The sequence below is a fragment of the Homo sapiens genome, chromosome 7 (genome assembly GCF_000001405.40).
Source record: "Homo sapiens chromosome 7, GRCh38.p14 Primary Assembly".
Lineage (NCBI taxonomy): Eukaryota > Metazoa > Chordata > Mammalia > Primates > Hominidae > Homo > Homo sapiens.
In genome coordinates, this window is record NC_000007.14 from 44,825,992 (window position 1) to 44,851,109 (window position 25,118).

General features: G+C 42.5%; 1 protein-coding gene and 1 long non-coding RNA gene across 7 annotated transcripts, besides 4 other annotated features; one reads left to right on the plus strand and one right to left on the minus strand.

Moving 5' to 3' along the window:
• Positions 1 to 897: 897 nt before the first annotated feature.
• H2AZ2 (H2A.Z variant histone 2) lies at positions 898 to 22,135 on the minus strand. Of its 5 annotated transcripts, none has more exons than NM_138635.3 (5): positions 21,978 to 22,135; positions 17,286 to 17,363; positions 14,908 to 15,021; positions 9,538 to 9,667; positions 898 to 4,172 (listed from the first exon to the last, which is right to left on the minus strand). In NM_138635.3, exons 1-5 carry the CDS (start codon positions 21,978 to 21,980, stop codon positions 4,153 to 4,155), a joined length of 345 nt encoding a protein of 114 aa, NP_619541.1. In that variant the 5' UTR covers positions 21,981 to 22,135; the 3' UTR covers positions 898 to 4,152. The 5 variants fall into 5 exon arrangements, with proteins under 5 accessions (NP_619541.1, NP_036544.1, NP_958844.1 ...); NM_012412.5 differs by lacking the exon at positions 898 to 4,172 and adding an exon at positions 5,987 to 8,571 and having other exon boundaries at positions 21,978 to 22,096; NM_201436.3 differs by lacking the exons at positions 898 to 4,172; positions 17,286 to 17,363 and adding an exon at positions 5,987 to 8,571 and having other exon boundaries at positions 21,978 to 22,096.
• Positions 21,679 to 22,236: an enhancer, noted in NCBI's record as "H3K27ac hESC enhancer chr7:44887269-44887826 (GRCh37/hg19 assembly coordinates)". NCBI's record gives its function as "activates a minimal SCP1, AML or CMV promoter by ChIP-STARR-seq in naive H9 embryonic stem cells {active_cell/tissue: H9 hESC(naive)}" and the evidence as "EXISTENCE:reporter gene assay evidence [ECO:0000049][PMID:30033119]".
• Positions 21,722 to 22,111: a silencer, noted in NCBI's record as "silent region_18155". NCBI's record gives its function as "represses an Ori minimal core promoter by ATAC-STARR-seq in GM12878 lymphoblastoid cells {active_cell/tissue: GM12878}" and the evidence as "EXISTENCE:reporter gene assay evidence [ECO:0000049][PMID:35858748]".
• Positions 22,237 to 22,795: an enhancer, noted in NCBI's record as "NANOG-H3K27ac-H3K4me1 hESC enhancer chr7:44887827-44888385 (GRCh37/hg19 assembly coordinates)". NCBI's record gives its function as "activates a minimal SCP1, AML or CMV promoter by ChIP-STARR-seq in naive H9 embryonic stem cells {active_cell/tissue: H9 hESC(naive)}" and the evidence as "EXISTENCE:reporter gene assay evidence [ECO:0000049][PMID:30033119]".
• Positions 22,372 to 22,431: a silencer, noted in NCBI's record as "silent region_18156". NCBI's record gives its function as "represses an Ori minimal core promoter by ATAC-STARR-seq in GM12878 lymphoblastoid cells {active_cell/tissue: GM12878}" and the evidence as "EXISTENCE:reporter gene assay evidence [ECO:0000049][PMID:35858748]".
• Positions 22,480 to 23,574, plus strand: H2AZ2-DT (H2AZ2 divergent transcript). Of its 2 annotated transcripts, NR_187580.1 has the most exons (3): positions 22,480 to 22,530; positions 22,862 to 23,241; positions 23,468 to 23,574. It is a non-coding gene; the product is annotated as a H2AZ2 divergent transcript (long non-coding RNA). The 2 variants fall into 2 exon arrangements; NR_187581.1 differs by lacking the exon at positions 22,862 to 23,241.
• Positions 23,575 to 25,118: the final 1,544 nt, after the last annotated feature.

The following is a 25,118-nucleotide window of genomic DNA, read 5'->3' on the forward strand; positions in this document are numbered from 1 at the left end:
GCTGAGACTACAGGTACGTGCTACCATGCCTGGCTCATTTTTGTATTTTTTGGTAGACCTTGTTGGCCAGGCTGGTCTCAAACTCCTGACCTCAAGTGATCCACTTGCCTCCCAAAGTGCTGGAATTACAGGCGTGAGCCACCGCGCCAGGCTGTATCTAACATCTCTGAATCTGAATTTCTTTGCTTGTAAAATGAGGCTGGTATTTATTTCCCAGATTTATTCAGGGGGTTAAATGAGCTAAATCCACATAAGGCAGGCTGGTAGGTTTTCAAAGAAATGTTTAGTGACCTTCCCCTTCCATAGGAAAAAAACTTAAGTTTTGGAGCTAAACAGACCAGATTCTCAGCACTTTCCCATTTCAGATTATGTGACCCTGGGATGTTGAATCATCTTCCTCTGCCTGAATTTCCTCATCTGTAAAATGAAGTATTATTGCCTTCTTGCTGTGGAGATGGAAAACTGAGAGGAGCCTGAGGCTCTTCAGCAGAGTGTGGCCTGAGAGTGGCCAGGGCTGGTTAGGCCCACCCTCTCCTCCAACACCTTCAGAGATGGGAGGACTCACTTTTTCAGTTTCTCCTTCTTCTTCTTTTTTTTAAAGACAGGATTTCACTCTGTTGCTCAGGCTGGAGTGCAGTTGCATGGTCATAGCTCATTGCAGCCTTGACCTCCCAGGCTCAAGCAATCCTACTCAGCCTGCTAAGTAGCTGGGACTACAGGTGTGCACCACCACACCCAGCCCTTTCTCAGAGTTTCTAAAGCTGAAAGCCATCGTCCAGAAATATTTAGTCCATACCTCTTTTTACACAGAATATATTTAATTCCATCATATAAGCTAGGAACAATGTTAACCAACAGAAAATGTGATCACGAGCTACATACAATAGATCAAATGAAGCACACATCCATGAAAAAATCATGCCAATTAAATATACTCTGCATTTCCATTAATATTAGTATGCTATTCTTTGATTTTTTTTGCTGATAAGCAGTCAAAACATTTAAACTCAAAATTGACAAATCAACTAGCTTGCTTTTTGTCATTTGGAAGACTACCATTATTCAAATTTATTATGTAATACACTCATCCAGATAATGAAACATCTGCGAAAAAAAGTGTGGGAATCACCTCATCTGTGCATAAAATGGCTATTATACATGAATGCAGACGTTTGAAGTTAGAAAGGAATATAACTCAAATAGCAAAAGGTCCTAATTACAGAGTTTACAAATAAGCAGTTTTATTTTCAAAAGTACATAGTAAGTCCAGACTGGGCTATTGCCAAAGAACTAATCTTTAGTCTACTTCAACATGTTACATGGTATTCCTGACTCTACAGACTATCAGCATCTGTGGAGGTTAGCTCCTAAAGGTCCCAAAGAACAGGAAACATGCAGGAATAAAGGACTCCTCGTGAAGAGCAGGTGGGAGCGAGTGGGCAGGCCTGTATCTTCTCAGCAAAGTAAGGATTGAGTATAGAGAGCTGTTTGTCTTAACTGGGCTTCCCTGAAGAATCTGAGCCAAACTGGAAGAAACCAGCCTCATTTCCAGTGTTGAGATGTTAGCTGTACAGTGGCTGTACAACTGCAGAGTTTATTTATAGAATTAGAAATAATTTTTTAAAATTTTAAAAGGTTTTGTGTAATCATTAACCAGAGATGATATTCACAAATTCTGGTAAAAATTTGACTCTCCAACTATCACCATATCAACAGGAAACAGGGCCATGCCACCAGGGAGGACTGTCTCAGCTGCCATTTAGGGAGTTGACCCCTTTGCTCTCTCGAGACCAGTTCCTGAAAGGAGGGCCTGTTTTGTACAGATGTGGCCATGGAGCTCATGGGGCCCTTGTATCACTTATAAAAATACATATCTTTGGCAGGCGAAACGTTCATTCTGATTTCACTAATTTTCATGTATCCATTTCAAAGGCCTATAACATACATAGTAATTTAGTTTTCTAGGTGCATAATTTGAATCTAGGGTGCTTACAGCTAGGAGACAAGATGAATAGAGCTAATTGTCAGGCACTCCTATTTTAACATGGCTATTTTTTTCTGTTAGTTCACATATTACCAGCAATTAGTATATTTTTTGAAGCTTTTGTGAAACTATGCCCTGTGATGCTCTTCCAACTCAGGGATAACAATACATATGGCTGTGTCTGAGATATACATTTTTCTGAAATGTCAAAGGTCTACTTCTCAACATTCTAATGGATTCACACATTACTTATTATTATTACTGATTCTTAACGACCTTGGTACTTCCTGCAGCAGTCTTCTAAGTGACTGGTCTGGGAGTCCCAGTTTTTATGTTCTCCATTTTGAGTTTACCCTGCCCATGTTCTCACTGAACCTCTGGTAATAACGGCTTTTAGAAATCTTGACTGAAAAACAAACAGGGCCATGGTGCTTTCAGGTGTTGGAACTCTTTGAGCACCAGGAACTGTGCTAAGTGTCTTACATGTGTTCTCATTCAGAGATCAGAGTGAGGTAGGTACTATCATCACCACTTTAAGGATGAAGACAGAGGCTTAAAGCAGTGAAGTCACACAGCCAGGGACTGGCCAACAAAGATCTGAACCCAGGTAGATAGGACTCCAGAACTACAATCACCCTTGAAAGAATTACAAAGCCCAACTCTCCACTGCTCTCTACTTGTAACACAAGCCATAAATCTCTACCCTCAGGGGCCTAAAGCCAACAAATTACCACAAACTTAGTGGCTTTAAACTAAGTTTCTGTAGGTGAGAAGTGTGGCATAGCACAGCAAATTTATATGCTCAGGGTCTCACCAGGCTAAAATCAAGGCATCAGGTAAGGCCAAGCTTCTCATCTGTGCCTCAAGGTGCTTTCTTCCAAGCTCACTGGAAGGATTCACTTCCTTCTCTTGATTTCCACATGGCCCCTCTATCTTCAAGTCAGCAATAGCACCTTGGGCCTTCCTTTGAATCTGACTCCTGCATCCTCTTCCATTTTTAAGGGTTCATGTAATTACACTGGGTTCCCCCAGGTAATCCAGGATAATATCTCTATTTTAGAAATTTTAGTTACATCTGCAAAGTCCCTTTTACCACATAATGTAACACATTCATAGGCATAACACTGGGCAGGGAAGGTGATGGGGACCAAAATTCTGCCTATCACCCCCTCCTGGAACCTCTCTTGTACATCTACAGCACCCAAGGCAAAATGCTGTCTCCCTTAGACACTTTTGCAGTACTCTGTCCTCTGCCAAGTGTCCAAGCAGTTATAGCAGCTGGACTGGGTCTCACTCAAAATATAAATTAACACCATGTATTTTCACCTTAAGAAATGCTGGTTGGCTGGGCCTGGTGGTTCCTGCCAGTAATCCCAGCACTTTGGAAGGCTTAGACGGGCGGATCGCCTGAGGTCAGGAGTTTGAGACCAGTCTGGCCAACATGGTGAAACCCCACGTCTACTAAAAATACAAAAATTAGCTGGGCATGGTGGCGTGCGCCTGTAATCCCAGCTACTTGGGAGGCTGAGGCAGGAGAATCGCTGGAACCCGGGAGGGAGGGTTGCAGTGAGCCAAGATCGTGCCATCGCACTCCAGTCTGGGTGACAAGAATGAGACTCTATTAAAGGAAAAAAAAAAAAAAAAAGCTAAGTTAACTGGTAGAAGATTGTGGAAAGGCCTATTTTTACTGGGGATAGGAATAGGATGATCTTCAACTGTTAAAACATTTCAGGTTACCCCACTCAGGACTCCCTATGAAACAAAACCCGAAAAATGAACACTAACTATAACCCTTTCACTCCCAGGTTCTCACTCTTTCCAGTGCCTGGAGATCCTCAGACTTACTAAGTCTTCACTTAGGATGGTAGTGTGGACCAACACTGCAGCAACACAGTTTATCCAAAAGGTCAAACATAAATAGAATATTTTATACATTCAGAAAATTACTCATGCAAGGAAAAGCGCTCTGAAATTACTTTAAATCAAAGCTGCTCTGAAGCAGATCAAGAATCTTGCTTAAAATTGAATTCACGTATCTGAGAAGCAAATGTCCTTGTTCAGCACATTCGGGCAGTTCCTTGGTTCAGCTCAGCACACATCCCAGTAGAATCTTGTTCCACTAAATCAGCAAAACCTTGCCGTCACCTAATACAATGGCATCTTCTGATCTAAGAACACCTTCTCTTCTCTAACAAGAAATAACAGGACAAATAGAGAATAAAAACAGCAGGCAAATAAATAAGGGCCATCTCATAGATGAGCTGATAACTGGATAAAATACAAGTAAAATGTTAACTATAGATATAGGTGGTGAGTATAAGAATTCACTGGATAACTACTGGAACTTTTTTGCATGTTTGAAAATTTTCATAATGTCAGAAGCATCGCAACAAATTCAACCATAGGCACCAAAGCAAGTCACATTTCTCATTAAATGTTTCATAAAGAGTCAGATACTCTCCAGGCCATTTGTTACAACTCCCTATATAAATGCAATTCTTCATTCTCAAGACCTTATTTGTGTTGTTTCCCCACTGGACTCTTCCCAAATGCAAACCAGGCCCAGTTCAGGTTCTAACACCTTCTATTTAAAAAAAGAAAAAGAAAAATCCTTCTTCTCTCTGCTTAAGTGCCATTGCATTTCACTGTGTCGTACTATCTAAAATACAGATCTGACAATTTTTTAGGTGTTATACTAGTTAGACTGGGTGTTGTTTTTAATTATAAGAAATACTTTCTACGCCAGGCACAGTGGCTCATGCCTGTAATCCCAGCACTTTGGGAGGCTGAGGCGGGTGGATCACTTGAGGTCAGGAGTTTGAGACCAGCCTGGCCAACATGGTGAAACCCCATCTCTACTACACAAATAAACAAACAAACAAAAAACACACACAGATTAGCTGGGCATGGTGGCGCATGCCTGTAGTCCCAGTTGCCTGGGAGGCTGAGGTTGCAGTGAGCCAAGATTAGGCTATTGGACTCCAGCCTAGGCAACAGAGTGAGATCCTGTCTCAGAAACAAAAACAAAAGAACAAACAAACATTAGCCAGGCATGGTGGCAGGCACCTGTAATGCCAGCTACTCAGGAGGCTGAGGCAGAAGAATCACTTGAACCTGGGAGGTGGAGGTTGCAGTGAGCTGAGATTGTGCCACTGCATGCCAGCCTGGGCGACAGAGTAATACTTTGTCTGAAAAAATAAAAATAAAATAAAACATAAAAAAGCTATCTTTTAGATACGTATTAAGATATTATACATGAAGTGATATGATAGCTGGAACGTGCTTTAAAATAACTCAAGGGGTTGGGTACAAATGAAACGAGACTGATCATAACTGTGAGAGCTAAGCCCAGAGTACATGACCTAGTTGTTCTATTTCTATGTTTTTTGTTAGAAAACAAATTGAAAATACAACCCTGGGAAGAAATTATGTAGTCAAGTAACTATACTATCAAAATGAATTAGACATTTGAAGCAATTATCTATAAAACTGTAGTAAAAATTGCCCTGAATCAAGTGATTCAGCCAAAGGAAAGTCTGTTGATTATATTGCACTCCCCCCCCCGCTTCTTTTTTTTCAAACAATCAGCTTTCTATTGCTACTTTTACTGTAGGCCTGACTCTCAATACAGAAACTTCAAAATGGGCGCCTATTCAATCAGAATTTGAAATTTCTATTTTATCCTGCCTCGTGAATTAATGAGCACAAGTTCTTTATAGGATTCCAGCTAATAGATGCAGAAGGAATGACAAGATATCACTGGTTGGCAACCTCTAATGGAATCCCAGATGTGGGCAAATATCATTAATGATGGCTAAATCCATCAGGGGAAAAGCTGATAGAGAACTTTTGTAATGAATGGAGTGGGCTGGCAGCATCCAAACCCACTATCAATCTTAATGTTACAAGATGAGAGCCATTATGTGCCATGATGTGATACAACATGGAGCATATATCACCTATGAATTATTTTTGTGAAAAAGCAAAACAGAACAACAGAAGCCCTCTAGATCTGTCAGTTTATAGAACATATAGGGGACAGAAAAGGTGTACATGATCCCATTAGGATACATTCAGTAAAATCCACTGAAGGACAATTCTATAGGACAAACAACTTAGTTTCTTCAAAAATTAAAAACAGGAAAGTTAAATCTATAGATTATATTAACAAAATGCAAGATCTAGATCTTGCCTGGATCTTGACTCGAATAAACCAACTGTTAAAAAAAACTTACGAGACAATCAGGAAGTTTGAATATTGACTGGTACTTGGCATCAAAAAATGTTTTAGCAGTCTTACACAATGGTATTGTGGTTATGTTCAAAAAAGTACCCTATCTTTGGAGTTATATTTGAATGTCTCTGATCACACAGACATGAAAATACTATGCCTGTTAATGGGACTCAAACTGATCCCTGTGGGTTGGGGCAGGGGATAGGTGGGGATGCAGGTAAACAAGACTGACCACAGGACAGCTGTTGGAGGATGGGTACACAGAGCTTCATTCTGCTATTCTTTTTGTGCATTTGTGAAAATTTCCATAATAAAATGTTTTTAAAAATGAGTTTGGATAGCATTATACTATAAAATATTTTAAAATTTCCTTCTTTAATGAAGACTTGCAAGCAGAAAAATATAATTTTCTAAGGGTCAATTAACTAGTACATTAACTCAAGTAACAGTTACTTAGCGCAGGGCATGGTGGCTTATGCCTATAATCCCAGTACTTTGGGAGGCCAAGGTGGGAGGATGGCTTGAGCCAGGAGTTCAATACCAACCTGGGCAACATAGGGAGACCTCTGTCTCTTACATAAATAAAAAAAATTAGCCAGGTATGGTGGCATGTGCCTGTGGTCCCAGCTATTTGCAGGGCTGAGGTAAGAGGATTGCTTGGGCCTGAGAGGTGGAGGCTGCAGTGAGCCAGGATCATGCCACTGCACTTCAACCTGGGCAAAAGAGCAAGAGCCTGTCTCAAAACAAACAAAAAAGTTTCTTAGAAACTGATAAATAAATATAATTTTTAAAAGATTGTACAAATTACTGTTATTGCATGACTAAGAGACTACTAAAAGTTGGGATTTTTTTTTTTGAGACAGAGTCACACTCTGTCACCTAGGCTGGAGTGTAGTGGCGTGATCTTGGCTCACTGCAACCTCTGCCTCCTGGGTTCAAGTGATTTTTTGTGCCCCAGTGCCCCAAGTAGTTGGGACAACATGTGTGTACCATGCCTGGCTAATTTCTGTATTTTTAGTAGAGACTTTTTTTTGTTTGTTTTGAGAGGGAGTCTTGCTCAGTCGCCAAGCTGGAGTGCAGTGGCGCCATCTTGGCTCACTGCAAGCTCCGCCTCCCGGGTTCACGTCATTCTCATGCCTCAGCCTCCTGAGTAGCTGGGACTACAGGCGCGTGCCACCACACCCGGCTAATTTTTTGTATTTTTTTAAATAGAGACGGGGTTTCACCATGTTAGCCAGGATGGTCTCGATTTCCTGACCTCGTGATTCACCCACCTTGGCCTCCCAAAGTGCTGGGATTACAGGCGTGAGCCACCGCGCCTGGCCGAGACGGCGTTTTACCATGTTGGCCAGGCTGGTCTCAAACTCCTGACCTCAAGTGTTCCACCAGCCTCGGTCTCCCGAAGTGTTGGGATTACAGGCGTAAACCACAATGCCAGGCCAAAAATTGGGATTTTAAACCAAAAGGAGAAACCTTTGATAAACTGAACATCAATTCCAGGTAAAACTAGGCTCTGGAGTCAGCCAGATCTAGGTTTGAATCCTAGCTCTGTCATTTTCTATCTACCAGTTCAATGTTTTTTGGCATAGCACACAATTTCTGTGACCCTTAGGCTCCACATCTATAATGTGGCAGCAACAACTTTCTTGGTCAGTAGAGCACTCTGCAAAGGGCCTGGCACATGGTAAGTGCTTGGTGTAGAATTCAAATAATTCCACTACCATTTCAGTCATAAATGCATACTTTTCTATAATCTAACATCTCTCAAATTGGGATGTCTCATAATTGATGGCATATCATGATTTAATTGGCAGGTTTTTTCCTTAGTCGTTTGTAAAAAATGGTGCTACAGATCAATAGCATCTAAGAGTCAATATACCATGGTATCAATCATTGTAAAGATATATTCCCAATTTCTGTTCTAAGGTTACTCTGAATAACCAATCTGAGATTTAAAATATTTAAAGTCTGAGTAAAATATTTCTAATACATCATGAACAGAACAGTTTTGAGACAAATTAATTTTGTAAAAAATGGTTTATCAATTCCATTTTTGTATAAAACACACGGGAGAAACCTAGCCAATCAACACACAACTGTCACCACATGAAAAGGTACTTTTATCAAACTTCGAGTCTAAGAACATACAAATGTTTCTTTTATCATGTCTACAGTAATTGTCTATGCTTTTCCATTTAACTGTTGTTAAAAATTCCACATATCCCCATTATTTCTTCTGTCCCAGTTACAGTACAATGACGGGGAGGAAGAGGGTTGGTTAAAGCATCCCTCTAAGCAGTTTTCTGCTGTCCCTTCTTTCCAATCAGAGATTTGTGGATGTGAGGGATCACACCTAGAATGAAATTTAAAAAAGTTATTAAAAACTTTTAAAGTTTTTGCCTCAAGTAAAAAGTTAATTATAGAAAAAATGAAATTTACTTAAGTCCCTTTTCATATTCTGATACTGTTAAACTATCTATACCAATGGCTACACCCCAGGGGTCTGTGAACCCTTTAAAACTGTATGTAAAATTGTGTGACTTTCCGTGCATTTTTTGAGAAGAGTAACCATAGCTTTTTTTTTTTTTTTTTTTTGAGATGGCCTCACTTTGTCGCCAATGCTGGGGTGCAGTGGTGTAATCTTGGCTCACTGCGACCTCTGTCCTGGGTTCAAGTGATTCTCCTACCTCAGCCTCCTGAGTAGCTGGGACTACAGGTGTGCACCACCACGCCCAGCTAATTTTTGTATTTTTAGTAGAGATGGGGTTTCACCACGTTGGCCAGGCTGGTCTTGAACTCCTGACCTCGGGTGATCCGGGGCCTCTCAGCCTCCCAAAGTGCTGAGATTACAGGTGTGAGCCACCGTGCCCAGCTGTAACCACAGCTTTCACGAGGTTCTTTGAGGGTTATCCAAAGAAGATTAAGAACCACCAACTTACCTCTCACTTTCATTGATCCTGACCCACTTTTCAAGTGTATTTATTTCAACCCTTTCCAGTGTATGTTATGCAACTTCTCCAACTCATTTTTCAAACACAGTTAAAAAAGTATGGGAAATATGTTAAACATCAGGCTTTAAGTATCATATGAAATTTAGACAAAGAACTGGCTAAAATAAAAATAGCATTACATATGGCTAGAAGGTGAAATATTTATTCAGATCATTATGAAAAGCTTAGAATTGTTATAGATTTAGTATTTATGAAATTAAAGTTTATATGCTTTCTAGTTAACCGATCAAATATACTATATCATTGATCTGAACGATATATTAGTCAGAAAGACCAATAAGAATCAAGGCTTAAGTAGTAATACATACCACCCCCAGCTATGGTAGCCTTGATAAGAGAATCCAACTCTTCATCACCACGGATTGCAAGCTGCAAGTGACGCGGAGTGATACGCTTTACTTTGAGATCCTTAGAAGCATTACCTGCCAGCTCCAGCACCTACAAAGCATCCATGATTAGCATATCAAATGAAGGACCTAGGATCCCAAATGAAGGATCACTTAGCATTTGTACATACAAAATGCACACACAATACATAAACTGATAATATATTTTTCTTTCTTGTATTTCTATAATGCTTTTATAAAGCTCTAATTCATTTAACTTCATTTATATTCATTCTCTGCAACAGAGACACAAACTTGAGCAAAAACCCACTTCTATATAGAAATAAAGGTAAGGACAGGAGATATTACCCCTTAGCCAAGATGCCAGATGTGAACATTTAGAAAAGTCTTTTTTTTTTTTTTTTTTTTTTGAGACAAGGTCTCACTCCATTGCCTAGGCTGGAGTGCAGTGGTGTGATCTTGGCTCACTGCAGCCTTGACCTCCCAAGTGCAGGGTTATTCTCCTGCCCTAGCGTCCTGAGCTGCTGTGACCAGGTGAGCGCCACCAAACCCGGCTTTTTTGTATTTTTGTTTTTTGTAGACACAAGGTTTCCCCACGTTGCCCAGGCTGGTCTCAGACTCCTGTGCTGAAATGATCTGCCCACCTGGGCCTCCCAAAGTGCTGAGATTACAAGTGTGAGCCACCACGCCCAGTCAAAGTCATATATTTTAATATATACTTGTAGACCATTTTTGTACAACCCTTAATAGCTGAAATGTATTTCTTAATGCTTTTAGAAGTTTTCAAATGTATTTTTAAAATTTTTTAAAAATAAAAGAGATGGGACATCATTATGTTGCCAGGGCTGGTGTCAAACCCTTGGCCTCAAGTGATCTTCCTACTTCAGCCTCTCAAAGTGCTGGGATTACAGGTGTACTGGGCCATCGCACTCAGCCTAAAATATAATTTAAAATAATTTCTTTTTTTTGAGATGGAGTCTTGCTGTGTTGCCCAGGCTGCAGTGCAACGGTGTGATCTCAGATCACTGCAACCACCACCTCCCGGGTTCAAACTATTCTCCTGCCTCAGCCTCCCGAGTAGCTGGGACTACAGGCGCCTGCCACCATGCCTGAGTAAGTTTTGTATTTTTAGTAGAGATGGGGTTTCGGCTAGGCGCGGTGGCTCACACCTGTAATCCCAGCAATTTGGGAGGCCGAGAGGGGTGGATCATGAGGTCAGGAGATCGAGACCATCCTGGCTAACACGGTGAAACCCTGTCTCTACTAAAAATACAAAAAATTAGCTGGGTGTGGTGGCAGGCACCTGTAGTCCCAGCTACTCGGGAGGGTGAGGCAGGAGAATGGCGTGAACCCAGGAAGCGGAGCTTGCAGTGAGCCGAGATGGCGCCACTGCACTCCAGCCTGGACGACAGAGCGAGACTCTGTCTCGAAAAGAAAAACAAAAACAAAAACAAAAAACAAAACAACAAAAAAAACAGACACAGGGTTTCACCATATTGGCCAGGCTGGTCTCAAATTCCTGACCTTGACTCCGTCTCAAAAAAAATAAAAAAATCAAACTCCTGACCTTGTGATCTGCCCGCCTTGGCCTCCCAAAGTGTTGGGATTACAGACGTGAACCACTACGCCAGGCCACCTCCTCGTTTTAAATAGAGCAGTGTTGGGTATACAGGAGAATCAACTGCTGAACTTTAAAAATACAAAAATCAGCAAGGTGTGGTGGCACACGCCTGTAATCCCAGCTACTTGGGAGGCTGAGGCAGGAGAATCGGTTGAACCCAGGAGGTGGAGGTTGCAGTGAGCCGAGATTGAGCCACTGAACTCCAGCCTGGGCGACAGAGCAAGACTCTCAAAAAAAAAAAAAAGAAAAAAAAAAAAAAAAAAAAAGTTGACTGCACCCACACATTCATTGTCCAATCTTAACCTAAATTGTTTTTTTTTTTTGAGACATGGTCTCACTGTCATGCAGGCTGGAGTGCAGTGGTGCAATCATGGCTCACTGCAGCCTCAACCTCCTGGGTCAGGTAATCATCCCACCTCACCCTCTCCACTAGCTGGGACTACAGGTGCACACTATCACATCTGGTCAATTTTTTGTATTTTTTTGTAGAGACAGGGTTTTGCCATGTTGTCCAGGCTGGTCTGGAAGTCCTGGACTCAAATGATCTGCCCACATTGACCTCCCAAAGTGCTGAGATTACAGGCATGAGCCACTGTGTAAACTTTAAAAATTTTAACCAAAGTTCCCAAAGATTTAAAAAAAAGGGGGGGGGGGCTTAGATAGATGGGGCTTGAACCTTGTGAACCACAATGTTCAATGTAAGACACCACACCCAGCCAAAGTCATATATTTTAATATATCTATGTGGTCTATTTCTGCAGAACCTTTAATAGCTGAAATTTCTTTTTTTTTCTTTTTTTTAAGACGGAGTCTCGTTCTGTCGCCAGGCTGGAGTGCAGTGGCGCGATCTCGGCTCGCTGCAACCTCTGCCTTCTGGGTTCAAGCAATTCTCCTGCCTCAGCCTCCTGAGTAGCTGGGACTATACACAGACACACGCCACCATGCCCAGCTAATTTTTGTATCTTTAGTAGAGATAGGGTTTCACTATGTTGGCCAGAATGGTCTCGATCTCTTGACCTCGTGATCTGCCCACCTCAGCCTCCCAAAGTGCTGGGATTACAGGCGTAAGCCACCGTGCCCAGCCGTGAAATTTATTTCTTAATGCTTATAGAAAAGTTTTAAAATGTATTTTAATTAAAATTTAAAAATTTTTAAAAATAAAAGAGGCCAGGTGGCCTCTTTTAATAAAAGGTGGCTCATGTCTGTAATCCCAGCACTTTGGGAGGCTGGGGCGGACAGATCATTTGAGGTCAGGAGTTCGAGATCAGCCTGGCCAACATGGCAAAACCTTGTCTCTACAAGAAAATAACAAAAATTAGCCAGGTGTGGTGATGCACACCGGTAGCCCCAGCTACTCCGGAGGCTGAGGTGGGAGAATTACTGGAACCCAGAAGGCAGAGGTTGCAATGAGCAGAGATCATGTCCCTGCCTTCCAGCCTGGGAGACAGAGAGAGATCCTGTCTCAAAACAAACACACAAGAAAAACCCCAAAAACAAAACACCCCTTGATCATGACACAGAGAAGCTGAAACTATCCATAACATCCATAATTCGATGTTAAATCCCCAGTGGGACACAGATGACTTGGTGAGACTAATGAAATAAATGACAGCAATGATAACTGACATACAGATTAAAAGCTAAATTCCTCAGCCTAGCTCCCAATCACATCTCCCCAAGTAAGACCCTTCTGTTTCCACCAGAATGAATGCGTCTACACTTGACCTACTTGTTACTCAAATTACTTCCCCAATCTGGAATGTAGCTGAAGTTTTATGACTTCCCAACGGATTTTTTTAAAGGAGGAATAGGGATGGGGAAAGTGGTGGTCTGTGACCCAAGAACTCTTGCCCAATTAACTTGTCTTCCTGAAATTTCAAACTGAGTAATATACAGCAATTTTGTATGTATAACCCTGCAGAGAACCAGGACAGACTGAGTCTTTTACTTCTATTATCATATTTGTGATTTTTATATATCATCACACTGGCCAAACTTTACATCATCCCAAATCTTCATAAACTACAACATTATGCTCTAACTTCACAAATACTGTCTACTGATTACATACATACTTCAAAGTTCACTGGGGTATGGTGGTTTATGTCTGTAATCCCAGCAACTTGGGAGGACCACTTGAGGCTAGGAGTTAGAAACCAGCCTGGGTAACATAGGGAGCCCTGTCTCCACAAAAAAATAAAAAATAGGCTGGGCGCGGTGGCTCACGCCTGTAATCCCAGCACTTTGGGAGGTGGAGGTGGGTGGCTCACGAGGTCAGGAGATCGAGACCATCCTGGCTACCACGGTGAAACCCCGTCTCTACTAAAAATACAAAAAAAAAAAATTAGCCGGGCGTGGTGGCGGGTGCCTGTAGTCCCAGCTACTCGGGAGGCTGAGGTGGGAGAATGGCGTGAATCCGGGAGGCGGAGGTTGCAGTGAGCCGAGACTGCACCACTGCACTCCAGCCTGGGTGACAGAGCGAGCCTCTGTCTCAAAAAAAAATAAATAAATAAAATAAAAATAAAAAATTAGCACCCAGCGCAGTGGCTCACACCTGTAGTCCCAGCACTTTGGGAGGCTGAGGCAAGTGGATCACCTGAGGTCAGGAATTTGAGACTGACCTGGCCAACATGGTGAAACCCAGTCTCCTCTAAAAATACAAAAATTAGCCGGGTGTAGTGGCGGGTGCCTGTAATCCCAGTTACTGGGGAGGCTGAGGCAGGAGAATTGCTTGAACCCAAGAAGTGGAGGTTGCAGTGAGCCAAGATTGTGCCATTGCACTCCACCTGGGATACAGAGCAAGACCCTGTCTCAAAATAAATAAATAAATAAATAAATAAATAAATAAATAAATAATTAGCCAGGTGTGGTGGCACACACCTGAAGTCACAGCTACTAGGGAGGCTGAGGCAGGAGGATCCTTTGAACCCAGGAGGTTTGAGGTTGGAGTGAGCTATGATCATGCCACTATACTCCAGCCTAGGTGACAGAGTGAGACCCAGTCTCAAAATAAAAAAATAAAAATAAAAGATAAGAGATTGCTGGCCCTTGCTTAACTTTTAAAAATTTTTTTACTTTGAGATAGGGTCTTGCTCTGTCACCCAGCCTAGTCTGGAACTCCAGGACTCAAGTGTACAATCTACCCACCTCAGCCGCCCAAAGTGTTGGCATTACAGGCGTGAATCACTGTGCCCAGCCCCTTGCTTAGCTTTAAAAACAAGTACACCAAGGTTCTTTTACATTGGCATTGGGTAATAGCTGACAAGATGCATCTCAAACTGCTATTAAAGAAACCAATGAGGCCGGACGTGGTGGCTCAAGCCTGTAATCTCAGCACTTTGGGAGGCTGAGGCAGGTAGATCACCTGAGGTCAGGAGTTTGAGACCAGTGTGGCCAACATGGTGAAACTCTGTCTCTACTAAAAATACAAAAATTAGCTGGGCACAGTGGTGCACACCTGTAGTCCCAGCTACTTGGGAGGCTGAGGTGGGAGAATCGCTTGAATCCGGGAGGCAGAGGTTGCAGTGAGCCGAGACTGGCCATTGCACTCCAGCCTGGGAAACAAGAGTGAAACTCTGTCTCCAAACAAACAAACAAAAAAGCCCCAGTGAGCATAATATGTCTTTTTTCAAATATATTCCATGGGTTTCTGTCACTGAGACTAGTGCACCTTCTGGATGGCCATATACAACAGACATTCCTGTACAAACCTCTGCAGTGAGGTACTCCAGAATCGCAGCACTGTACACGGCAGCAGTGGCACCCACCCTTCCATGGCTTGTGGTGCGAGTCTTCAAGTGTCTGTGGATGCGGCCCACAGGAAACTAAAAGAGAGATGTCTTAGTGGGAAGCACTGCAGAGTCTTAACATTGCACTGACTGTAATCAAAGGCTGAACAATGTAAGCATGAAATAATAAAAAACTTGATCACACATATCAGAAGCCAAACCTATTACGCATCAATAGTTCCCAGGGCCTGTGTCTCTGTTCTGGTAATCTGTCCAAAATCTTTAACCTCTGCATAATATGGGAAATATCACTCTAAAATGAAGAAATACCACGCTGGGCTGTCATCAACTGTACGTTCAACATGACCCATGGATCAAATTCCTATCTAGTTAATTTCTTCACATAATAGCCACATGCAACTTTGAACCTCCAATACCTTCCTCAGATCTTAAATGTTCTTTCTTCAGTTTCAAGAGGTGATCTGATAGTTAAGAAAAATCAATACTATTATCTCATTGTGGTTCTTTCTACTTTCTGAAAAAGAGGGTATTTTTCTCATTTCAAAGTATCCTGATCCCACTTGTCTGTGCCCTTTATTATTTTTTTTATTGAGACAGAGTCTCACTCTGTCACCCAGGCTGGAGTGCAGTGGCGCCATCTTGGCTCACTGCAACCTCCGCCTCCCGGGTTCAGGCGATTCTCCTGCCTCAGCCTCCTGAGTAGGTGGGATTATAGGCGCGCCAGGACGCCTGGCTGTTTTGTATTTTTAGTAGAGACAGGGTTTTGAGTGATCTGTCCACCTTAGCCTCCCAAAGTGCTGGGATTACAGGCATGAGCCACTGTGCCCCGCCAGTCTGTGCCTTTCTTACAGGCCTCCCTCAACCCTTCACTGCTCCATTATTTCAACAGCTACAATTACTTCCTTTCCGCTGGTTCCTTTCCTTCTACAGACTTTACTGAAAACTTCACAATCTATGAAAACTGCTTCCAGTTACAGTCTAGACAGTCTCTTTCCAAAGACTGAATTGAAAAAACAAATCCTGAAACCCTTACTTCCTTGTCACCCATTTTTCCTAACCCTAACTTGACCTTTGAAGGCCAGCAGTGACATTTTACTTCCTTAATAAAAACAAGCAATCTTTTTTTTGCATTTATACTTCATCTCTAAGTGACCAAAAGCTTCTTAAGGGCAAGATTTATGTCTTCTTTTCCTTTGTATCCTTAGTAACCAGTATGTTGTCTGGCATACAGTAGGCCCTCAAAAACATTTCATCTTAGACTTCAGAGTTCTCATACCAAGTCTGACTACTCCTCAGCCTTTTCTTAAAGTTTTTCAGGGGTCCACCAACGTCCCTGTGCTCCTTTCTCATTCTCTTAGGTTAGGAAACTCATCCATAACATAAACTATCCATTTTACATAAATGATCTCAAATTCCTAATTCTATCACCTCTATTAGAAAGCTGAACTCATGTTTCCAACTTCTGGACATTTTCACATGGATGTTTTAGTGAACTTCAAAATGATTCCATTTAAATTTACTCATAACTTGCCCCTACTACAAACTCCTCTGTTCCTTAGGTTCTAAGCCTTAGAGAAACCTGTGACTTTCTCTCAACCTTATACTGCTTCACCTATTTTCTGCACACACATGCTTTCTACTCCTTCCCATTCAAGTATGTTACTTTATTCCTAAACCACTGCAAAAACCTCCATTGGCCTTCCATTTTCTACTTCAAATTAAGTATGCCTTAAAATAAATTCTAATTGGGAATATACATGGAGACCTAAAATACAGAATGTGCATATCAGTTTAAGTTCCCATCCCCCTTCTTTCGGTATCATCTGGATAATGTTGTCCTCTGGCTCAAACTCTCAATGGCTTACCACTGCCAAGAGGATAACAGTTTACAGCTTAGCCTTCCTGATTAAAAGGGTTTCTCAGCCAGGCGCGGTGGCTCATGCCTGTAATTCCAGCCCTCTGGGAGGCTGAGGCAGGCAGATCACGAGGTCAAGAGATTGAGACCATCTTGGCCAACATGGTGAAATCCCGTCTCTACTAAAAATACAAAAACTAGCTGGGTATGGTGGCGCACGCCTGCAGTCCCAGCTATGTGGGAGCCTGAGGCAGGAGAATCGCTTGAATCCAGGAGGCAGAGGTTGCAGTGAGCCGAGATTGCACCACTGCACTCCAGCCTGACGACAGAGTGAGACTCTGTCTCAAAAAAAAAAAAAAAAAAAAAAAAAAAAAAAAAAAAAAGTCTGTAGTAATACAAGTAGATTTTTGTAATTGATGAAACATAGGTCATAAATTACAACAGTAAAGAAAATAATAATGTAATGACAGCATGGATTCATTACCTGTAGCCCAGCTCTCTGTGAGCGAGATACTGCCTTAGCCTTGGCCTTCCCACTGTCCTTTCCAGCTTTGCCTCCAGCCTAAATGCAAAAAAAAATTTTTTTGAATGAAAAGAGTTGAAAATACTACTTCAAAAATATTCTGGAAACAGAATTTTTTCTAGTTTTACTTTAGGTAGTTAACAATATGTAGGTGATCCCCTTCCTCATTTGTAAATATACATGGGATTCTATCACCTTTTATAATTTCTATCAAAGAAATCAAACCTTAAACACTTATTTAAAATATTTTTCTTTTTTCTTGAGATGGAGTCTAGCTCTGTTGCCCAGGCTGGAGTGCAGTGGTGCGACCTTGACTCACTGCAAACTCCACCTCCTGGGCTCAAGCGATTCTCCTGCCTCAGCCTCCTGAGTAGCTGAGATTACAGGCGCACACCACCACACATGGCTAATTTTTGTATTTTTAGTAGAGGTGGGTTTCACTATGTTGGCCAAGCTGGTCTTGAACTCCTGACCTCAAGTGATCCGCCCGCCTAGGCCTCCCAAAGTGCTGGGATTACAGGCATAAGCCACAGTGCCAGGCTGAAAAATATGAGATTTTTAAAAACAAACATATTTATCAATTTCCAGATTAAAGAATCTTGCAAGTCAATATAACTTTTATGCATACATGAAATATTTCACAATTTTTATCAATGTCAATGTAACATATATTACTTCCACAGAAATATTTAGAACTTAGCTCTCAGAAAAATAAAGCATGTTCCAAGAAAAAAAAAAAAAACCTCAAAAAATTAAACACAGAATTGTCATATAGTCTAGCAATTCCACTTCTAGGTATACACCTAAAAATTGAAAGCAAGGATTCAAACAAATACATGTATACCCACGTTCACAGAAGCATTATTCAGAATAGCCAAAAGGTAGAAACAATCTTGAGTGTCCAATGATGGATGAACAAAATGATATACATATAATGGAATAGTATTCAGCTTTAAAAAGGAAATTCTGACACAAGCTACAACATGAATGGGCCTTGAGGACATTATGCTAAGGAAAATAAGCCAGTTACAAAAAAGACAAATACTGTATGATTCTACTTATGAGGTCCCTAAAATAGTAAAGTTCATGGTCAGAAAGCAGATTTGTGGTTGCCAGGGGTAGCTGCCTCCTGGGTTCAAGTGATTCTCCTGCCTCAGCCTCCTAAGTAGCTGGTAGTATAGGTGCGCGCCACCATGCCCTGCTAATTTTTGTATTTTTAGTACCAACAAGGTTTCTGCATGTTGGCCAGGCTGGTCTTGAACTCCTGACCTCAAGTGATCTGCCTGTCTCATCCTCCCAAAGTACTGGGATTACAGGCGTGAGCCACTGCGCCTGGCCGAGTTATTGTTGAATGGGTAGAGTTTCCACTTGGGAAGATGAAAAAGTTCTAGAGGCAGAAGGCAGTGATGGTTGCACACTATAAATGTACTTAATGCCACTGAACTGTACGCTTTAAAAAAACCTATTTCTGCATGAAAAAGGCAAAGTATGTGCCAATGTAATGAGCTTTTAAGTAAATATGGGGTATTATAGAGTATATGTGTACACATGTATTTCTAGTAGGTGACACAATAAATTAGAAATGTTATTTGCCTCTCGGGAGGAAATACTAAAGGTCTGACTTAAGAAAACTAATTTTCTCTCATATATTTTGCTTTTACCATTTAAACAGATTATTTCTTTACTGTTAAAAAAAGAAATCAGTTTACAAGATTGGCTGTTTGAGGGGCTATTCTTTCAAAATAGATGGTAAGCTTTGAAATGGCATATCCCCTTTGTAGCTAACCCTTTCCTTAAAAATTTTTTAAAGCTAAAAATTACCCCTGTATACTTCCTCTAATTGCACGTCTAAGTGGATTAAGTGCGTGTCACCCAAGATAATATGGAAGAAAAACAGTAAAACCCTGGCAGGTATCAGAAACAGGAAAAATAAAAATCTAAGAACTAATTCATATTCACTCTCTTATATTAGGTAATTCAACAAGAGACTGATTTAAGTTTACCAGTAAGAACTGAGACGCTCTCTATTTCTACCAGAATGCCTCATATTTTAATAATTTTTGACTATGTTGTTATATAAGAAAAATACAATTTTTGGATTTTTGAGGTCAGCTCCACTAACAAGACAGTCTTACTTACTTCTCAAATAAAAAACCCTTGTTACCTCCATTTGCCCTAATATATAACACTTAAAAACCTCTCAACTGGCATCTAAAATTATAATCACTGTCTTCCTATGACTGGATTGGAAAAAATAAGAAGTAGTCACTAATAAAAAGCCAACAACTACAAAATTCCCCAGGCTCCCCAGGTCATATAATAACTACTCTGCTTAAGCAATTTTATCCTCACTGTTTCAGATATGTCATATTTGGTGTTCTATTTGCTTTTTAAGGAAGTAGACATACAGTCAGGTTTTAAAAGCCTCAATCCATTAAATGACTATTTCCAACATTTAGAGATTCCTGATACATTTCTCATACTTAACAAAAGAAAACTTTTATGGTATCAAACTTATCTGAATATAAAACTATACAATAAATGGATAATTACTTTCTTTCCGATATCCCCTCAAACTGTATATATAGCCTCCCTACTTTGAACATTCATTTTAATATAATTGGTGCTTGAGAACCCAAATCTAAATTTTTTAATTCCAAGAACTGACTTCGTATTAACCTGAGTTAAGGTTGTTGGTTTTAAAAAATTACACACACACACACACACACACACACACACACACACACAGAGAGAGACAGAGAGAGAGAGAGAGGAGGAAGTAGGAGTTCGTTCATTTTACTTGGATAAACTTGCAAACTGGATACTAAGACACTTTCATGTCAGTTTTAACAGACATCTGCTTACTTCCTCTCAGGTTTAAAATCTATCAAGAACGACAACTCAATGTCTCCTGCATTTTTAGCTTATGTTAATACTTATGTATTTTTAGCTACTGGTAAGTGGATATAAAACATATAGCGTATCACTAGAGATTGAAAAATATCTGAAAAACTAGAATTGGCCGTGCGCGGTGGCTCACGCCTGTAATCCCAGCACTTTGTCAGGCCGAGGGGGGCGGATCACAAGGTCAAGAGATCGAGACCATCCTGGCCAACATGGTGAAACCCAATCTCTACTAAAAATACAAAAAATTAGCAGGGCGTGGTGGCGCACGCCTGTAGCTATTCGGGAGGCTGAGGCAGGAGCATCGCTTGAACCCGGGAGGCGGAGGTTGCAGTGAGTGAAGATCGCCCATTGCACTCCAGCCTGGCAACAGAGTGAGACTCCGTCTCAAAAAAAAAAACCACAAAAAACCACAAAAAACAAACAACAAAAAACCAAAAAAAAAAAAAACCACAAAAAACTAGAATCATGAAAATCATCTGTTTGAGCAAATCCTTTTACAGATTAGATGTAAGCTGTACCTCAGTTTGATAAAGTACTATAAAGTACTTTACAATAACAATAAACTATACGTGAGACGTTGGAAGCAATTATCCCTAAAGTCTATTCCAGCTCTAAGATTTGGGTTTTTTACAATAACAATAAACTATACGTTAGACGTTGGAAGCAATTATCCCTAAAGTCTATTCCAGCTCTAAGATTTGGGTATTTTACAATAACCAAACATTGTCCTCTCGACTGGCCAATCTGTTTACAGTTAGGTGTTATGTCTATTCAATACCATATCTGTCACATCAAGCACAAGACAAATCATCTAATACTATCTGCAGTATGATAAATGACAGCTTGGTGCTAACTTTTAAGCAGGTAGCTCCCGTTGAAGTAACCTTTCAACAGAATGCTTAAAGCACGAATACCGGCAAAAATAAGATTCCATAACAGTCTTATTATTTTTACACAATCTTTGATGCAACTCAGAGCGTATCCTTTAGCACCTTCTCTTTTCCCCTCAACTTTAAAATGGGGCTGAAGTTCTATTCACTTTCATTTTTTTAAAGCCACACTCTTCTTATCTAGATCTGAATTTCAGAATGAAAAGATGAATACTTTAAGACTGAAAATCCATAGCAAGGGCAAAGGAAAGTACTGTTGTATAATGAAAACCGCAAACTGCAAGGGGCTCAGAAGATAACGGGCGTTCATTTCTAACCTGTGCAATCACCTAGAACAAATCGTGTGGTTCTGGTCTATAAAACCATTCTTTGTCGCTCAAAAGACCACAAATACAAGCACCCTTTCGCAGAAACCCTCAAACTGACTGCCAGGGAGATTACGTAACCAAACATCGCCAAAGACTTATCTAACTTGTACAGCGGCAGCCTGTTTGACCTCATTCATACAGAGAAGCGATCACATTAAGATCCAGCACTTGTTTCTACATTTCCAAGCCGGATTCTGCCGTCCTCCTCCTTCTAAGACGGGCGGTGCAGCGTCACAAGCGTCGGGACAGATCTATCCGGCTCGGAACAGACTTCGCGCTCTACCCGGCCAGGCCCAGCTCTCACCCGGGGACCCGTGTCGGGCTCCGCAGCTGGGACATGGCGCCCCCCGGCGGGCGGCGAGGGGCTCGGCCGGACGAAGCCCAGACACCCGCAAACTCCCGACTCCACAGGTAGCGGCGCCGACGCCAGGGCCTCCGCGCTCTGCTCTCCCAGGCCCCGTGCCCCCGGCCCACCCGGCCGCCCTTACCATGTTCTCGGCGCCGACTCCGCCTCCGCTCGGCCGCGCGCCCTCCCGCTGCCGACCCGCGCCGCCGCCGCCGCTCTCGCAGCACCGACCGCCGCCGCCGGAGCCGGACAATACCCCGTGCCCGCCTCGCGCTGCTGTGGCCAATGCCCGCTTGTCTTGCTGGTTCGAACCCCAGCGGCTGTTCAATCGCGCGCCTCCTTCTAGCCAGACCCCGCCCCCCCGGCACCGCCTTCCTAACGGCTGTTTGTTTTTGCACACGGCACGCGGAGGCGGGGCCTCCAGCCCCAATAGTGACGCGCTCTCTGCCTTTCACCAGGCGCCCAAGCCTGACGAACAGAAAGGCAAACCAATGAGATTGGACGCCTCGCAGACGAAAGCCAATAAAAATATCGCCCGCGAGCAAGGGAGGCGGGCCACTGGGAAGGACAGCAAAATTAGCTAATAAGGTGAAGCGATTGCAGGCGCTGTGGCTTTCCCGCCCATTCGCGGCGTTGGTTTTCCCGCTTCTGAGACTTGTTTGGGGAGGTAAAGAGTGTTGGACGTGCTTCTCCTGGTGGGTTTTCACAGACTGTGAGGATTTATTCGTCTTAGAACGTGTGGATCAGGAGGGCGCTGGGTTTCAAGGTTAGGCAGGCCTCATGCTCAGCCGTATTCTGGCGGACTGACTACCCTGACGTCCTCTCAGCGCGGACCCTGACAAGGTCCGCGGCAGGCTGAGGCGGGAGAATCGCTTGAACCCCGGAGGCGGAGGTTGCAGTGAGCCGAGATCGCGCCACTGCACTCCAGCTGGGCGACGCATCGTCTCAAAACAAACAAACAAAAACAAAAGCTATCAATTGGCTACATATTGTTATTTGTATGACAAATTCTTTTTCCTTTTTTAGAGATGGAGTCCTGGGACTACAGGCGCGCGCCCCAATGCCCAGCTAACTTTTGTATTTTTAATAGAGACGGGGTTTCTCCGTGTTGGTCAGGCTGGTCTCGAACTCCTGACCTCAGGTGATCTGCCCCCCTTTGCCTCCCAAAGTACTGGGATTACAGGCGTGAGCCACCGCGCCCGGCATGTATTACAAATTCTAAGAACACGAAGATAATGGGGCCGGCTTGGTGGCGCGAACCTGTAGCCTCACCTACTGTCAAGACTGAGACAGGAGGATCTCTTGAGCCCAGGAGGTCGAGGCTGCAGTGAGTCATGATCGCACCACTGCACTCCAGCTTGGGAGACAGAATATACCCTGTCTAAAAAATAATAATAAAAAAAAAGGTAATGGATGAGGCCGATAGTCAGGAATGAAATGACTTTAAACAATTGGGTATGCATGGGATTGGGTATGTGTGTATGTGGGGGCAGAGGGTGGGCATAACCGAAGTCCCATACTCATGTCCCTCTAGGCCTAATACATTTTGCAGACCTCACAGAGCTCAGACTGTTGTGAGCCGTTTTTCTTTTCTCAACCTCTTCAGTGTGTTTATTTTGCTTACATCATTAGGTTAAAATTTGGAGGATAACTCCCAGCTAGAAAGGAAGAAAAGCTCTAAAGTGGAATCGCCTTCCCCCGGAAGCTGTTGTAAAAATTAAAGGATGTATGTGAGTGCACAGGCTCTCCAGCGATCGTTTTTCTTCCACAGTGTTAACACAATTTATTTATTTATTTACTTTTTGAGATGAAGTCTCACTCTGTTGCCCAGGCTGGATGGAGTGCAGTGGTGTGATCTGGGCTCACTGCAACCTCCGCCTCCTGAGTTCAAGCGATTCTCCTGCCTCAGCCTCCTGGGTAGCTGGGACTAAAGGCTCCCACCACCATTCCCCGCTAGTTTTTGTATTTTTAGTAGAAATAGGGTTTCACCATGTTGGCCAGGCTGGTCTTGAACTCCTGACCTCAAGTGATCCTCTCGCCTCAGCCTCCTAAAGTGCTGGGATTACAGGCGTGAGCCACCGCGCCTGGCCTGTTTCCACAATTAAAAAAGGCCCATCACCCTATCATGATCATCTCTATTACAGTCTGGACAATATGAGCTTTCTGGGAGAGCCAGCTTCATTTCATAACTGAAGAAATGGGCTTAGGTGAACTTAGTCATTTGCCTGAGACCGCATAGCCTGTAGATAACCAAGATACCAGCTCACATTTGTTCCAACTCATTCCAGCTTTAAATTCTTTCATTCTTTTCACAGTATGATGCATTGACTGTGCTAGAATGTGTTCTTGGTGTTGGTGAGTTAATAGTGAAAAAAACAAGTTTCTGCCTTAGTGGAGATTCTGTTGTCATAGGATTTTCCCAGGCTGGCACTTTAGAAATTTATATCCAGGCTGATGATAGCTGTTCCAAAGTTTGAATCAGGAGAAGCAACTTTGGGGAAGTGAGTCTTTAAAAAAAGGTAACTTAAATTCAAGAAGAGGAAGAGGGTGAGCTTCTAAGTAAGAATTTGGAAAAATACGGATGAAGGTACAGACAAGTGTGAGGAAGGGTGTCCAGTGAAATAGGAAGGAATGGAGCAATGTGCCCAGATTAATAGAAGCCTCAAAACTAGGTAGAAGAGTGGAGTTACTTCAGTAAAAATAGCCATTGTTAATTCCTGCTCCTCTGTGTTTCTGGCCTCAGTGGATGGCATTACCAATCTACCAAGGCATAAGCCTGTGAGTTATTCCTTTAACAAATCACTCAGTGCCTACTGTTTGCAGGCACTGTGCTAGGTACTGAGGATTTGGTGATTAGCAAAATAGACATTGTCCTTGCCCTTGTGGTCCTCTGCAGCGGGAGTCAGATGTTAAAGAAATAAACAAATACCATATGTGAATTATAATAAGTTCAAGTGTGCTGAAGGAAAAGAACAGGGTGCTTTAAGAGAGAAACAGGGAATGTAGTTTAGCTGGTGTGGGTGGTCCACAAAGAGCATGCAGGCTGGGCGTGGTGGCTCACTCCTGTAATCCCAGCAATTTGGGAGGCCAAGGTGGGTGGATCATCTGAGGTCAGGAGTTCGAGACCAGCCTGGCCAACATGGCAAAACCCTGTCTCTACTAAAAATGCAAAAATTAGCCAGGCGTGGTGGCGCATGCCTGTTATTCCCAGCTACTCAGGAGGCTGACGCAGGAAAATCACCTGGGCCCAGGAGAGCCTGGGAAGCGGAGGCTGCAGTGAGCT

Coding starts and splice junctions, on each gene's coding strand:
- H2AZ2 (NM_012412.5), bottom strand. Junction 9,668..14,907: donor TGGAGTACCTCACTGCAGAG/GTTTGTACAGGA, acceptor GATGCTTTGTAG/GTGCTGGAGCTGGCAGGTAA. Junction 8,572..9,537: donor GGCTACCATAGCTGGGGGTG/GTATGTATTACT, acceptor ATTTCATTCTAG/GTGTGATCCCTCACATCCAC.